At 40.3% G+C, this 17,488-nt stretch overlaps 1 protein-coding gene and 1 pseudogene across 5 annotated transcripts in view, besides 1 other annotated feature; both read right to left on the bottom strand.

The window, feature by feature from the left end:
* The window catches only part of TMEM116 (transmembrane protein 116), an 81,938-nt gene that overhangs the window by 63,177 nt on the left and 1,273 nt on the right, over positions 1-17,488 (bottom strand). For 3 of the 5 annotated variants that reach the window (NM_001193453.2, NM_001193531.2, NM_001294314.2), the window contains exons 2-3: positions 10,799-10,845; positions 9,342-9,405 (exon numbers count right to left, since the gene is read on the bottom strand). In NM_001193453.2, the coding sequence (NP_001180382.1) occupies positions 9,342-9,405; positions 10,799-10,812 (78 nt within the window). In that variant the 5' untranslated portion in view covers positions 10,813-10,845. The remainder of the gene's footprint in view (positions 1-9,341; positions 9,406-10,798; positions 10,846-17,488) is intronic. The other 2 variants (NR_122119.1, NM_138341.3) reach the window with 1 other exon arrangement.
* LOC724085 (immediate early response 3 interacting protein 1 pseudogene) lies at positions 4,775-6,610 on the bottom strand (annotated as a pseudogene).
* Positions 16,665-17,178: an enhancer, noted in NCBI's record as "H3K4me1 hESC enhancer chr12:112448927-112449440 (GRCh37/hg19 assembly coordinates)". NCBI's record gives its function as "activates a minimal SCP1, AML or CMV promoter by ChIP-STARR-seq in primed H9 embryonic stem cells {active_cell/tissue: H9 hESC(primed)}" and the evidence as "EXISTENCE:reporter gene assay evidence [ECO:0000049][PMID:30033119]".

A 17,488-nucleotide genomic window follows, 5' to 3' on the forward strand; every position in this document is an offset into this window, starting at 1 on the left:
TCCTGTGATGCCGCCAATGCACTGGATATACTGGCATTTATTATTAAGTTTAGTGAGGGCGGGGGTAGGTTAGTGAGGGATTTAGGGGGTCATTTGATTATGAGGTGAGATGATCACATGGGGATGAAGTAATTCTTTAATGTAACATCGGTATGCATAAGTACAGTATACAGAGATAAGAATTTACAACATAGTGTGTGTGTCAGCAATTTCTAACAGAGCCTTAAAACAGAAACACAGTCTATCCATAACCTATGTTTAGTAAGATACTAATCAGCAGTAATATTTGCAGCAAAAGCTGGTTGCAAACAATCAACAGAAACAGGATGTGAAACAACCGGTTAGACCACAAATTCTCAGAAGGGAGTATGCCTTAACCCTAAAGAGACCCAGAAAAGCCGTGGCAAGATAAGGGCGTTTATAACCCTATCTTATCCATATGAACAAGCGCCCCTCATGTGTCTATTTATAGGCTCTCCACAAGGGTTGCATTGCATTCCCAGAGCTATGAACATCTGCTTTTCTGGGATAGTAATCTTGGTGATGTGAAACCTCCCTGACTGCACGTCCGTTTATAGGCTCTCTGCAGGGAGAAGCACATCACGCACTGTTGGCTCATTCTGGCAGCCAAACCTTGCATTGTCTTTACAAAATCCTGCATGCAATTTTGTATTTACAATAATCAGGAGCATTTCATCTTTTATTCCATAGCAATAGTTTCAGGAGGTCTCCCTACAAAAACTAACATAGACCTAGAGTGAAGATACTGTGGTACTAGTACAGGGATGGACAAATAGGTGAATAAAATGAAAATAGCCCAAATTAAACCCAGCAATATATATATAGATCTCTGATGTATGACATAAGTGGCTTTTTCAATCAGTGGAAAAGAGACAGTCTTTTCAAAATATGAAGCTAGAACAATTGGGTATCCATACAGGAAAAAAAAATGAAATTAGGCCCCTACTTTGTATCTCACACTACACTCAAAAAATCAGTTCTAGGACGGGCATGGTGGCTCACGTCTGTAATCTCTGCACTTTGGGAGGTGGGCAGATCACCTGAGGTCAGGAGCTCAAAACCAGCCTGGCCAACATAGTGAAACCCCATCTCTACTAAAAATACAAAAATTAGCTGGGCATGGTGGCGGGCGCCTGTAATTCCAGCTACTCAGGAGGCTGAGGCAGGAGAATCATTTGAACCCAGGAGGCGGAGGTTGCAGTGAGCCGAGATCATGCCACTGCACTCCAGCCTGAGCGACAGAGTGAGACTCCATCTAATCAGTTCTAGGTCAGGCTCAGTGACTATATGACTATAATCCTAACATTTTGGGAGGCCGAGGCAGGAGGACTGCTTGAGCCCAGGAGTTCAAGACCAGACTGGGAAACATGGTGAGACTCCATCTCTACAAATAAAATAAAAAATAAAAAAATTAGCTGGGCATGGTGACACACACTTGTGGTCTCAGCTACTTGGGAGTCTGAGGCAGGAGGATCACTTGAGCCCAGGAGGTCAAGGCTGCAGTGAGCCATGATTGCATCACTGCACTTCAGCCAGGGAAACAGAACAAGACCCTGTCTCAAAAAAAAAAAAAAAAAAAAAAATCTATTCCAAGTAGTTTAAAGACCTAAATGTGAAAGGACAAAAACTGTAAACCTTTTTTTTACATTCTATAGGAGAATGTCTTCAATTTTTGTTTAGGGAAAATTTTCCTAAACAAAACACAAAAAGTACTAAAAGAAATAATGAAAAAAATCAACCACATTAAAATGAAAAATTGAGTCTGTGTCAAGACACCATAAAGAAAGTAAAAAGACATACCACAAAATAGAAGATATTTGTAACACATATAACTGACAAAGGATCCAAACTGTGTTTTAAAAAAATTACTAAGTAGTAAGAAAAACTCAACAGAAAAACAGGCAAAAATATTTAACAAAAGAGGAAATCCAAATGGCCATAAACATATGCAAATATGCCCTACTTTATTAGTAATAAAGGAAATGAAAAATTAAAACCACAATAAGAAAATAATTACACACCCATGGCAAAAATTTTAAGTCTGATAACAGCAAGTATTAACGGGAACAAAAAGCAACAGGACACTTTATACACTGCTGGCACAACCAGTTGGAAAAGAGTTTGACATTAATTTAGGGGCAGTGGAAATCCTATGACAATTCTGATATTGGGCAAATATACTAGATAAGCTTATGCATTTGCGCACCAGAAAACATGTACAAGAATGCTTATAGCAGCATAATGTACAAGAATGCTTATACAATAATGCTTATGTACAAGAAAACATGTACAAGAATGCTTATAGCAGCATAAGCAGGTAAATAAATTTTAGTATATTCATACTACAGAATACCAGACATCAATGAAAATGAAATGAACTCATGCTCTATACAACGTGGATACATCTCACAAATAATATTGAGGGATAAAAGCAATTCATAAAACAATACGTACAAAAATACATATAGCATTATTCCAATTATATCAAGTTCAAAAACAAGCAAAACCAAATTGTTTAAACATACATACATTTCTGGTAAACCGTACATAAGAGTAAAAAAATGCTTATCACAAAAATCTGGATACTGATTATCTCTAGAGGTGAGAGGGAGAGCTGTGATTGGGAAGAACCTCAATAGGTATATGTCTGGAAGTACAGGTAATGTTCCATTTCTTGTCACTAGTGTTTGTTTATAATCATTCTTTAAATAGTACATACATGTTTCATGCATTCTAGTTCATGTCTGGTATATCTCACAATAAAAAAATACATTTACAAATTTTAAAGTCCTGGCCAAGCACTGTGGCTCAAGCCTGTAATGCCAGCACTTTGTGAGGCTGAGGCGGGAAGACTGAATGAAGCCAGGAGTTCCAGGCCAGCCTTGGCAACATAACAAGACCCCTGTCTCTACAAAATTAAAAATTAAAAAAAATAGCTGGCTATAGTGGCGTGCACCTGTAGTCCCAGCTATTCAGGAAGCTGAGGTGGCAGGATTGCTTGGGCCTAGCAGTTTGAGGCTACAGTAGGCTATGATCCTGTACTATGGCCTGAGTGGCACAGCAAAATCCTGTTATCTAAAAAAAAACAAAAACAAACAAACAAAAAAAACAAACAGAACAGATATTACCTAATATGAGAACTAATCTCCCCACATGTACAAAACAGAATTTTTCTCATCTCTTTCTCCCAAGCCCACCTATACAAGAGGATTTTTCTCATATATTTCTCCCAAACCAGAAAAAGAGGTAAGATGCTAATTAATATCTTGTTAATAGGGTTAGATGGTCAAGTTGCCTTGGCTAACAGAAACATAAAAAAGTGAAATAATATGTAATAAAACATTTAAAAGTATAAAGTATTTAATAAATATCAGCTATTATGTTAACCACATATGGCCTTTTCTCTGGGTAAGCTTGCTAAAATTCCAGTTGGATGGCACAGTCATAGATTCTACTGGCTTATGACCTATCATAAGTTTATAACTGTTAAGAGATTTAAAAATGTGAAATGGTGAAGTCAAGAAATATATAAAGAAAAATCTCTAAATTTAAAATGTTTTATTTGGGAAGCAAGAATTGCATTTCAGGGCATACACACAGACTGCGTGGTCTTGGACATGTCTGAAGAACAAAGAGATGACTGGGAGTTTTATTAGAAGGGAAATAGTACATGTTGTTTTGAAAGCAAGCTCACTGGCACCAAAGAAAGTTTTGGGAGTCGGCAAACTCTGATTAGTGAGTGACCGTGGTATGTAAAACTAGTCCTAAGAGACAGGGCAAGTCATTTTGGCAACTACAAGATCAAACTGGTCTCAGGGTTACATTGGACTATTTTAGTAGCTGGGCTTGTGAAAATATTAATTATTGGAGCAGGTGCTATGTGCTCTGAGAGCTTGTTCCCCTTGGCTTCTCGACTCCAATTTAGTTGGGTATGACAAGAATGATCCAATATGTATAATCAACTTTCACATAAATAATCCCTGGAGAAGAAAAGCAGCCATGCAGCTTTTGTGAGCAATAACATTCTGATCATTAATTCAAGAAATAGCCCTATGAGGCTGGGCGCAGTGGCTCATGCCTGTAATCCCCAGCACTTTGGGAGGCCGAGGCGAGCAGATCACCTGAGGTCAGGAGTTTGAGACCAGCCTGACCAATATGGTGAAACCCTGTCTCTACTAAAAATACAAAAAAATTAGCCAGGCATGGTGGCATATGCCTGTAGTCCCAGCTACTTGGGAGGCTGAGGCAGAAGAATCACTTGAATCCAGGAGATGGAGGTTGCAGTGAGCTGAGATCACACCACTGCACTCCAGCCTGAATGACAAAGCGAGACTCTCAGGAAAGGCAAAGGGGGAAAGGGGGAAAGGAAAGGAAAGGACCCTATGTATAGGGAGATGTTAAAACATATCAGAAGTCTTTGGCAGGGCAAAGGAGGACAAAACGAGGTGAGGTTTGCTTGCACTCAATTCTAATAACAGGAGATAAAGTTCAATCAATTATACAACAAAAATTAACTGAGTACCTATTATTGAAATCAAGAAAAATTCTACCCCTCCTATGTATAACAAGGCATTATTTTGAAGGAAATACAAAGAAATGTATAATATAGGTCATGCTCTTAAGAAAAATACAACCAGCCTAGTGCCTGGTAATAAAGAAAACCCAAAAAAGCATAAGATATGATCCTAAACATGAAAGCAAAAACTCTTAAAAAAAAACCCACATATATATACATTTGTATTTGTCCTTTTTTTTTACTTAGAAATTCAACTTTATTTACAAATGTTCTTCTATTTACAAAGAGGCCATTCTAGCTCTTTAAAAATATTGTAACTTGGCCGGGCGCGGTGACTCACGCCTGTAATCCCAGCACTTTGGGAGGCCAAGGCGGGTGGATCACGAGGTCAGGAGTTCAACACCAGCTTGACCAACATGGTGAAACCCCATTTCTACTAAAAATACAAAAATTAGCTGGGCATGCTGGCGCATGCCTGTAATCCCAGCTACTCGGGAGGCTGAGCCAGAATTGCTTGAACCGAGACCCTGGTGACAGAGGTTGCAGTGAGCTGAGACTGCACCACTGCACTCCAGCTTGGGCTACAGAGCGAGACTCCATCTCAAAAAAAAAATAAAATAAATTATATATACATATATATACACATGTATATAGTAACTAATAATTTTCACAAAAACCATTTACATTGTTTCAAACTTTCTGTTTAAAACTGTACTATGAGATGAGCAAACAATCCCACAAGATGATTTGAGACATAAAAAAATAAATAAAAGACAACCTATCCAGCATGAATGTCCTATTGACAAACACAATGAAGAATTAAGAATCACAACCCACAGTGTGCCACTTCACCAAGAAATGGAACTGTAAAGATTTTGGGGGAGGTAAATGCTTCACAACAGTCTTCTTGTGTAGTATAGTTTAATTGTGACTGTTTAGGACTGCTCTTGCAGGCTAATATTTATGCTGCTTTTTTTTGTTTAAAGTCATCACTGTAGAAAGGGTAGACTTTTGTAGATTTTTCTAACAATGAAAATATGTAGACACTGGTCTGGTCTCATCATTTAGTCCAATTAATAAAATAATAAATGCATTAAAAAAGTAAAACAAAATCATCATGTGACTAACACAATTCTCCTTGATATATCAGAGAGTATTACTCCTCAATAGTGTCTATAAATTTGAATTATTCATAGATGAAACAATATACAAACAAAATAATTAACCAAGGAGTTCAAAATAAAATCACTCAAATTACCTATTTATCATTTTATGTGTAGCAATTACTTTTTTAAAATCCTTTAAATTTTATCTAGAGATAAGCATTCACATCATGGCTAAGTCCCAAAGAACTTCAAAACTTTTTAAAAAAATTCATCCCTCAGAAATGAGAGATAGAAAAATAACTTTAAAAACAGAAACAACAGTCTTATGCACTCTTTTAACAATCTCAGCACAGAGCGAGCTACTATTAACAGTAAGCAAATATTCCAGTCCTGGAGAGTTACTGCCTCTCATGATCTGATTTTTTTTTCTTTTTTTTTTTTTTGAAATAGGGTCTCACTTTGTCACACAGGCTGGAGTGCAGTGGCCCGATCTTGGCTTACTGCAGTCTTACTTACTTACTTCCTGAGCCTCCCAGGCTCAAGTGATCCTCCCATCTCAGCCTTTATTCCAATAATGACCTAAATAATAACTTCTGCTAGCATCTCTTCTGAGTCTCCATTTCCTCTCCTGATATTCATCCAAATAATAAAAGTAACACAATTGCAATTGAGTTTACTATTATCAATGGCATTCTCATCACAGTTGTTACAGATTGAATACGGTTCATTAGCTGAGATTTAATTCCTGGCTCCTCCCCGAATCCACCAATTCTCTGGTCTATTCTCCAGCCAATGTTCTTGAGGAATTTCTCTTTGTGCAGCATGGCGATGGCACTGACACAGAGCAGGGCTGCCTGCAGCAGTCAGTACAAGGTAAAGGCCATGACCATCCAAGCTCCCGTGAGGTCCAACTGATTCCTCTCTGCTGCCACAAGGGACTTGGCGCCACCACGGCTGGTGCTTTCCTCTCTATCTGTCTTTAATTTAAACCACGGGCAGAATAACCAAGAGCTCTCCCTACTCAAGAGCATCTCTATTTTGTTTTAATTATAAATAGTAAGAAAAAAGAGTCACGTCCTAAGCCAAATTAGACCTTAACACCTTATATCTTTATAAAGTCCCAACCCACTGTTATGCCAGAAAGTCACCTTGGACAGTAGTTTTCAAACAAGAACAATTTTGCCCCAATCCCACCCTCACAGGGACATTCAGCAATTTTTTTATTTTTAAGAGATGGGGTCCTGTTCTGTCACCCAGGCTGGAGTGCAGTGATATGATCATAGCTCACTGCAGCCTTGAACTCCTGTGCTCAAGCAATCCCCACCTCAGCCTCCTGGGTAGCTAGAACTATAGGCACCTGCCACTACACCTGGACCATTTGGCATTGTTTGAAGAAATTTTTGGTTGTCACAACTAAAGAACAGAGGGTTTACTACTAGTATCCAGCTGGTAAAGGCTGCCAAACGTCCTAATGTACAGGACTACAAATAATTATCTAGCCCCAAATCTCAATAAAGCTGAGGTTGAGAAACCCTGCTTTCAGAGATAAAGCTTAGCTCTCTCTGTGTGTAAGTCATACTTTATTAACTTAATCACATCTGAACTCAAATTCCAGCAAAGGAAATAAACATTAGGAAAATCTGAATCACAAGATGTTTGACTTAAAATTACTTTGGCAGGCAATGACAATACAGTAGCAAGACTTTTACTTTCCAGTTTGACTTACACAGTCACAATCTACCACTGAAACTTCAAAATCCATTTTCATTGGACATTATATTTTGGTGGTTTAAAAGTGTATGGTGGAGAGGCTCTGGAACAAGACAAGGCTGCATTCAAATTCCAGCTCCAACACTTACTAGCTGTAAGAACTTAGGAAAGTCCCCTAACCTTACCAGGATTCAGTTTCCTTGTCTGCAATATCAGACTAATAATATCCATCTCAAAGTTTTTTAAGGATTAAATGAAAAATACACTGAAAGCACTGAGCAAATCTATCTAGAATAAATACTAAAAATTTTGTTTAGTTTGGAGAGCAATTATAATTAAGAGTATTGACTTTTAAAAATCCTTGCTCTTGGCCAGGCATGGTGGCTCACACCTATAATCCCAGCACTTTGGGAGGTCCAGGCAGGTGGATCAGGAGATCAGGAGTTCAAGATCAACCAGGCCAAGATGGTGAAACCCTGGCTGAGGCAGGAGAATTGCTTGAACCCAGGAGGCAAAGGTTGCAGTGAGCCGAGATTGCACCATCACACTCCAGCCTGGGCAACAAGAGCGAAACTCTGTCTCAAAAAAAAAAAAAAAAAAAAAATTAGCTGGATGCGGTGGCAGTTACCTGTAATCCCAGCTACTTGGGAGGCTGAGGCAGGAGAATCACTTGAACCTGGGCGGCAGACATTGTAGTGAGCCAAGATCGTGCCACTGCACTCCAGCCTCGGCGACACAGTGAGACTCCATCTCAAAAAAAAAAAAAAGAAAAAAAGAAAAAAGCAAAAAACCCCTGCTCTTCTATTTACTGTGTAACTTGAACAAATTATTTCCTGACTTTGAACCACAATTTCCTCTTTTGTGAAATGGGCCTAATACTATCCCTCTTATAGATTGATGAGGACCAATGAGATAAAGTATGTAAAGCACTCAGCATAGTTGGAAAATAGTAAGTGTTCAACATACAGAAGTTATTTTTATTATTAAAGTGGGCCCAATAAAACCCAATGGCATTTTCCACATATAAAAGCTCTCCCATACATGTCCTGACCTATGCTTTGTCTAATTTTGTGCTATTTGGTCTGGTTAAAGAATAGTTGTTATATTTCTCTTAAGATCTGTTTACTAAGCTAGAAAATACATCACTCTCCCTAGTACTCTGTTAATCAGGAAGGTTTTTAATTTGATCTTTTTGGTATGAATAGTTTAAATGTATTTTTACTCTGTTTTCACCATAAAATTGCAATTGCCTAGAAGGCCAGAGAAGCAAAATAAGTATGTTTCATATAGCAAAGTTTTTAAACTATCTCCTAGTCCCAGTAGCAATTTTACTAAAGTATCAAAATCAGAGAACTCACCTCTAGGCAAGCTCCTGCTATGCTTAGAGTGAATATTGGATTCAGACAACATTCTGTTTCCTTAGCCTTAGCAATTAATGCATACCAAAGAAATCCACATTTAATAGTTAATCTCAGGGCTGGGCGCGGTGGCTCACGCCTGTAATCCCAGCACTTTGGGAGGCCAAGGCAGGCGGATCATGAGATCAGGAGATCGAGACCATCCTGGCTAACACGGTGAAACCCTGTCTCTACCAAAAATACAAAAAATTAGCCGGACGTGGTGGCGGGTGCCTGTAGTCCCAGCTACTCGGGAGGCTGAGGCAGGAGAATGGCGTGAACTCGGGAGGTGGAGCTTGCAGTGAGCCGAGATCGCACCACTGCACTCCAGCCTGGGTGACAGAGCAAGACTCCGTCTCAAAAAAAAAAAAAAAATAGTTAATCTCTCAGAATTCAAAGTTATAGCTAAAATAATTACCTAGAAGAAAAGGGAGCCCTACTGACCATGCCAAAAATATCTCATTGTATCATCATGACAAATTTAAAAGTAATTCATAGAATTATTTCACCACTTACAGGTAACATCTGTTATTTGTTTCAGAGACTAGGTCAATAAAAAGTTCAAATCCAACACAAAGAGAAATCACTCACCTCTGGAGATTTCTGTATATTATGGAATACAGCATAGGCAATAAGTGAACTTGAACCTATAACACTGAGAAATTTAGAAGATGATTGATCATTAAAGCAGGACAATGGAGTGCCATCGTTTTTGTTATTAATTTTGGGTTTTTTTTACAGTTTTATTGGCATAATTGATATAAAATAAACTGCATTAAAAAAATTTTTAGACACAGGGTCTTGCTATGTCAGCCAGGCTGGAGTGCAGTGGTGTCATTATAGCTCAACGTAACCTTGAACTCCTGGGCCCTGGTGATCCTCCTGTCTCAGCCTCCTGAGTAGCTAGGACTATAGGTGTGAATCACCACAACTGGCTAATTATTTTATTTTTTGTAGTGATAGGGTCTTGCTATGTTGCCCAGGCTAGTCTCAAACTCCTGGCCTCATGTGATCTTCCCACTTTGGCCTTTCAAGCACTGAGATTACAGGTGTGAGCCACCATGCCCAGCCCTGCACATATTTTTTTTTTTTTAGAGGCAGGGTCTCCTTCTGTCACCCAGGCTAGAGTACAGTCGTACAATCATAGCTCACTGCAGCCTCCAACTCCTGGGCTAAAGTGATCCTCCCACCTTAGCCTCCTGAGTAGCTGGAACTACGGGCATCTGCTACCATGCCCAGCTAATGTTTTAAAATTTTTTGTAGAGACAGGGTCTCGCTATGTTGCCCAGGCTGGTCTCAAACTCCTGGGCTCAGGCCATCCTCCTGCCTTGGCCTCCCAAAATGCTGGGATTACAGGCATGGGCCACCATATCCAGCCAATATTTTTAAACAAATATAGAATGCTTCACAAATTTGCACATTCTCCTTATCCAGAGGCCATGCCAATCTTTTTTTTTTTTAATTTTTTTTGAGATAGGGTCTTGCTCTGTCAACCAGGCTGGAATGCAGTGGCACAATCACAGCTCCTCCTGAGTAGCTGGAACTACAGACACATACCACCATGTCCAGCTATTTTTATGGGGTTTTTTTGTTTGTTTTGTTTTGTTTTATTTTGCTTTTTTGTAGGGACAGGGTTTCACCATGTTGCCCAGGATGGTCTCAAACTCCTGAGCTCAAGCGATCTGCCCACCTCAGCCTCCCAAAGTGTTGGGATTACAGGTATGAGCTCAGCCCTGCCAATTTTCTCTTTGTCATTCCAATTTTTAGTATAGGTGCTGCTTAAGTAAGCACTTTGCTATTGATTTTGCAACTGATCCTGCTGACCAGGTTGTCCACTGATGTTCAGATGTTATCCTTTAATCAATTTTTTGTTGTTATTGTTGTTAATGTTGTCACTTTATTAGTAAGAAAATATCAAGATGATAAAGAATATCATTTCTCTTTAACTAAAGAGTAAAAGCAAATCCCCAAGGGGGAAATGTGGAAAACTACAGAATTGACGAACTTTGCTTATACTAGTTTAGTTATATGAGATTAAATAAACATACCTCAGAGTAGCCATGACAAATTGTATCCACTGTATTGCAGGAAGAACCTAAGCAAAACAAGGAAAACGGAATAAAATTAAACCTTTTACATTGAATATTCAACCTAAGTTCATTATTAACTATCTGTACAGCATGAATTTTTCTTCAAAGCCTAATCTCAAAACATACTATAAGCCTGAGAATGAGTTAAAAGGCTGAACAGGCCCCTGGAAAGACAAGGTGCTCCTTTTTTCCTCTCTTATTTCTATTTCACTGGGAAATAGTATGATTTTTTAAAAAATAGAGATGTGGATTGAAAAATGACTAAATGAAAAAGGGAAACTAGCCAGGCACTGAGGCTCATACCTGTAATCCCGACACTTTGAGAGGCTGAGGTAAGACGATCACTTGAGGCCAGGAGTTTAAGAAAAAAGAAACCTGGGAGAGAAAACTAATAAAAGGAAGAACAAAATGTAGAGTGGGTAGAAAAAGTTAAATGTTGAGAGAGAATACAGAGATGTGTGGAAAGAATAGGTAACAGAAGAGACAAATACTAGAGTTCACTGATAGGTAGAAAGAGGAAAGATAGACTAGTAAAACAGAGAAACTGAAGAAAAGTTAGTAGTATGAAAAGAGATTGTGAGTGAAAAATGCAGAACAGGAAAGAAGAAAGGGAAAATACAAAGGAAGACAGGGAGAGCTTCTGACCTTACCAAGTCCCAACTGTCCTCCAGAATGCTAGCGTCTAGTGGAAAGGTCATAGGGACTTCAGTCCCAGCTACCCTTGAGCAGCCGATCCTTCCTAGTCAGGTTCTGAATCCTGAAGCAGTGAACAGGTGGCTCCACCCCTATCCCAGCTGGGCTCCTCCTATACTGAATCCTGCTCTGTACCTTGAGGGCAAGGAGAGAGGTAGTGACAAGCGGAGGAGAAAGCCAAGCAGAAAGAACAAAAACAGAAAGACCAGGTAACAGGGAAACAAAGTGGTAAGTGGCATTAGGAATTAAAAGGAGCAAGAGGCAGGAGTAATAAAAAGCAGACAGATACAGAAGGGGCAGGATTGAGAAAAAAAGATGAGTCATAGTGAAAAGATAAATAGAGCTGCAATAGAGAAATGGAACTAAAAAAAGGGGTGGGCGGAGAAATAAATGGGATAGAAAGGAGGTCTCCCTAAAATTTGCCCTTGTTTAGAGACAGAAGCCTGTGATGGAAAAGAGAGATTGCATATTCACTCAGTTAATAAAGTTTTAGTAATACTAGTGAAAAGCTGAGGTGGTTATTAATGTTTGTCATAAATTACATTATTCATTAATACACTGATGCTTAAATATCAACTTTGTGCAAAGCAGTGTGTTATGGAAGATATAAAAAGAAATAAGATATAGACCCAGCCTTCTGACAGCTTATAATATAGTAGGAAAAATGGCCTGAATACCAAAAATTCAAATGATTTGCGCACAGCAAGAATATACCTACACAGAGTAGCATTCAAAGAAGATTTGGAAGAACTGATAAAATTTGGACAGACTGGAGGAAAAAAGAGAGCAGAAGGAAGACCATTCATTTATGTAATTTATCTTTCATCTAGCCATAATTTCATATAGTCTACAAATCCTTATTGATAACAAATTAAATCACTTGCGTCGCTAGAGTAATTTAAATACATGACTAATTTATTCATATCAGGTTAAAATTACAGTCCAAAACAAAACAAAACAAAAAACAGCCAGATGCAATGTCATGCACCTGTGGTCCTGGCTACTTGGGAGGTGGAGGCAGAAGGGTCTCTTGAGGCCAGGAGTTTGAGGCTGCAGTGTGCTATGACTGTTCCTGTGAATAGCCATTGCACTCCATCCTGGGCAGCATAGCAAAACACCATTTCTAAAACAAAATAAAACACGGCCAGTGTGCTGGCCCACGCCTGTAATCCCAGCACTTTGGGAGGCCAAGTCAGGTGGATCACTTGAGGTCAGGAATTTGAGACCAGCCTGGCCAACATGGCAAAACCTTTCTCTACTAAAAATACAAATATAAGCCAGGCGGGGTGGCATGCGCCTGTAATCCCAGCTACTCGGGAGGCTGATGCATGAGAATCACTTGAACCCAGGAGGCGGAGGTTGCAATGAGCTGAGATCATGACACTGCACTCCAGCCTGGATGACAGAGCGAGACTCCATCTCAAAACAAATAAATAAATAAAAATAAAACAAAACAGAAACCAAACCAACCAAACAAAAAGATTATAGTCTATAGCGGAAGACCAGACATTGTTAAATAGAGGTTAAGTTCTAATCACTTTGCTTAAATTGTTAGGTAAATAAATAAAAATACCAGGAAATTTCTAGATCAGAAATCCCCAGCATAACGTCTTAAGAAGTATTTTAAGGCCTCTACTCATACATCTTACCTAATAAAGGTGAGGAGACTACTGACAGTTTCACCAAGTAATAAGAAAATGCTTTTAGACAAAGGACTGTTGTTTCAGTCAAGAACAAATCTCATGTTGCTCAGAGAACAGCCATGCCAAATTAGTCTGCTGCTCTTGCTAGGATAATCAATGATGAATAACTTTTCTCTTTGGTGTTCTCTTCTAAAACATCTATACCATCTACCAACATTTGGGAATTTACTTTTCAGTTTTTCTATCAAAATTAATCCCCTGCTTGCTGTATATTCAGCACTTTGTCCCTTTGAAGTATCTTTGGAAACATAATCTTGCCATCTTCCTTTTCTAAAAGGGCTAGTCCAAGCTCAAATGATGAAGTAGGTGATATTTATTTTCAGTTTTCCTTTATCTCTTTTTAGCAAAAAGCTCCTTGCATGCCTGTGGTCCCAGCTACTCAGCAGGCTGCGGCAGGAGGATCTCTTGAGGCTGAGGTCCAGGCTGCAGTGAGCTGTGTTTGCATCACTGCACTCACGCTCCAGCCTGAGCGACAGAGTGAAACCCTGTGTTAAAAAGAAAAAAAAGGCTGGGCGCGGTGGCTCACACCTGTAATCCCAACACTTTCGGAGGCCGAGGCGTGTGGATCACAAGGTCAGGAGTTGGAGACCAGCCTGGCCAAGATGGTGAAACCCCGCCTCTACTAAAAATACAAAAATTAGCTGGGTATGGTGGCGGGCGCCTGTAATCCCAGCTACTCGGGAGGCTGAGACAGAGAATTGCTTGAACCCGGGAGGCGGAAGTTGTAGTGAGCCAAGATCATGCCACTGCACTCCAGCCTGGATGACAGAGCAAGACTCCACCTCAAAAAAAAAAAAACCTCCTTAGCAAGTTCAAACCTATCCCAGTTCTTAACTTATTGGGCTACTGTATATTATATATCAATTCAAGTTAACACATATTCATAAAATTGCTATCATGAGCAAGTTACTCAAAGTCAGGAAAGACACTTGCCTTTGTAAAATATTTTTATTTAACCAAAAAGTTTTCTAAAAATAACATTTAAAGATTTCTAAGGCCAGGCACGGTGGAGTACGCCTGTAATCCCAGCACTTTGGGAGGCCAAGGTGGGTGGATCACCTGAGGTCAGGAACTTGAGACTAGCCTGACCAACATGGTGAAATCCTCTCTCTACTAAATACAAATAAATACATAGCCAGGCATGGTGGTGGGTGCCTGTAATGCCAGCTATTCAGGAGGCTGAGGCAGGAGAATTGCTTGAACCCAGGAGGTGGAGGTTGCAGTGAGCCAAGATCGCACCATTGCACTCCAGCCTGGGCAACAAGAGCGAAACTCCATTTCAAAAAAAAAAAAAAAAGATTTCTAGTAATAACAGTTACCAATTATGAAGTGCTTTTGAATTGTATCTTAGTAAAATTACTGCCAATAAAATGAAGTTTGGAACAAAAGCAAGGAAGGAAATGCCCAGTGCTAGAATTCACGGTGTAATGATTAATGGATGTTTCTGTCTGACTAAAAAGGATAATACTCACAATATAAAGTATAAAACAAACATTGTAAGAAGGAACTGAAGATAAAGATTGTAAGAGAGCACCTGACTACTCTAAATAAATCCACCACTCCTGGCCTGAACAAATTACCCTCCAGAATTTTGATAAAACTTGCCAGTTAACCCAATAAACCATTTGAGAAAAATTTGAGAGTTCATGTAAAAATGGGAAACTTGCTAGAAACCTGGTAATAACTAAATTAAAGGCAAAAAGATGTGAAATCTGCAAACCAAACCATATGTCAAGGATCTTAGTATTGATCCCAAATAAGATTCTAGAATGAATTGTCCAAAAGATGTGTTTGCAAACAATTAGAAAAAAAGTAACTGCTAAATCAGCATGGGTTTACTTAAAAAAAAAAAAAAAAAAAATGCTGGGTGCAGTGGGTCACGCCTGTAATCCCAGCACTTTGGGAGGCCAAGGCAGGTGGATCATTTGAGGTCAGGAGTTCAAGATGAGCCTGGCCAACATGGTGAAACCCCATCTCTACTAAAAATACAAAAAAAAAAAAATTAGCCAGGTGTGGTGGCAGACGTCTGTAATCCCAGCTACTCAGGAGGCTGAGGTAGGAAAATCACTTGAACGCAGGAGGTGGAGGTTGCAGTGAGCTGAGATCAGGCCTCTGAACTCCAGCCTGAGTGACCAAGTGACTCTGTCTCAAAAAAAAAAAAAACAAAACAAAACCTACTTCTAAACTAACCATGACTAGAAAGTCACTGCTGATCAATTCTACTAACTAGGTATAACCGAAGTTATTTATACTGAGAAGTGAATAATTTTAGAAGTTTAAATGTTTTATAAAGAAATTTTAAAACTCTTAATAGCTCCATATAGACTACAGAACAGAAAATTCTTAGTTTGACTTCAAGACTCCCTCCTATCTGAGCTTAAAACTGTTTTACTATCTCCTGTTTGGAGAACTCCCTTCAACCAAGCCAGTCATTCTCCCAAAGCATCATGTTCATTCCCGTATCTGCTCCTTTTCCACTTGTTCTCTATCTAAAATGTTCCTCCTTCCAAGGCTTAACTCTATTTCCACCAGTTACATAAAGCCTTGTTTCACCACCTCAGTTCATAGTTTTCCCTTCTTCTAATTTCTATCACTTGTCTTGTAGCTCATAGTGTTACGGGGTCTTTGGGGTGTCCATTTTCTGGCCAGAAACCTCTGTGGCCACAGTGCCTTTACCCGAGTTCTTGTCCTGCATCCAGGAAAAGAATGAGGTACGTGGACAATGAAGGGTGAACAAGACAAAGATGAACTTTATTGAGTGTTACAACAGCTCAGAGACCTCCAGTGGGTATTTCCTCTCTGTAGGCAGGTTGTCCATCAGGTATTCAGTTCTCAGTAGAGAGGAGGCCCTGGAGAGGATGGCTCCTCTCTGCAACTGATCGTCCTAATGTCTGCAGCTCTCAGAAGAGAGGAGGCCCTGGAGAGGGTGGCTCTTCTCTGCCCACAGGTTGTCTCTGCAGCTGTCAGCAGGGAGGGTAGGTCCTTTTTGCAACTGGCTGTTCCATCATCTCCAACTATCAGCAGAGAGGGTAGCTCCTCTCTTAGGCTTGTTGACCCATAGGTCTCTGCCCTCTTGGTCCTCTGGCAGTCCTCTGCCCTACTCTGGCTGAACCCAGGGTTTTTATGGACCTCCGAGGGGAGGAAGTACATGCCGATTGGTCCATGGGCAGGCCAGAAGATGCACCACGAGTCCCTACTCCAGTCTGCAGGACTGGCAGCCTGGACCCCTGTCTTCAGGCCCTCCCTGACCTGAAGGTGGGGTCTTACTGGGGACTCACCCACTTCTACCCTGGAATCAATCTGCCTCCCATTGCCATTCTTGGCCCCAAGCCCGCTCTGAGATTGGAGCAGGCCCCGGGAGTAGAGAGAGTCCAGGCGGTGGGAACAGACACTCCTGAGCCTGCAGGGATTGCAGTAGGGTGTCTTGCTGGTCCCCCAAGGGTGCAGGCTGCAGAGATGCCCAGGTCCTGCACCTGGGAGGGCAGCCACAATGGCACCAGGGGCTCCTGCCTCAACTCAGAAGGGGCGGGGCTCCCACAGGCTCCATGGAGTGTGCAGCCCCAGTCACACCTCCCTGCTGCAGCTGGCTGCCATCAATAGGGCAAACTCAAAATTTTTCTTAACTTCCCCAGACACATTCACACATACACACACACAAACACACACACACTTTCTTTCAAAATTTATATCCAATCAAACTGGTTGTCCATGATTGGATCCTGTTATCACTGTTGACTATTTATACACATACATTTTGGAAACATACAATGGTTAATTATAGCAGTAAGTCCCTTACAATGCATTGTATATGTTCTCTTACATGCATTTGTTCATCAAATCTTGTGAATTCTACCCTTTAAAAGTTTGTCAATTCCATCCATACTTCTTCAGCCCTATTATGTCCTACTGCATGACCTTAACCTCTTCCAACTAGACTATTGCCATACCCCATTAATTGGCTTTAGTCCCGTCTTCTCAATTCCAATCCATTTCCTTCATTCCTGAGTAATGTTGTTTTTGTTTTGAGACAGTCTTCTCTGTTGCCCAGACTGGAGTGCAGTGGCAGCAATCAGGGCTGACTGCAGCCTCGACCCCTCAGGTCCAAGTGATCCTGCTGCCTCAGCCTCCCAAGTACCTGGGACCACAGGCATGCACTACCACACATGGCTAATTTTTCTACTTATTGTAGAGACGAGGTTTCATTACGTTGCCCAGGCTGACCTGGGTGCTGTTTCTACACACAAATCTAACC

The sequence above is a fragment of the Homo sapiens genome, chromosome 12, assembly GCF_000001405.40.
Source record: "Homo sapiens chromosome 12, GRCh38.p14 Primary Assembly".
NCBI lineage: Eukaryota > Metazoa > Chordata > Mammalia > Primates > Hominidae > Homo > Homo sapiens.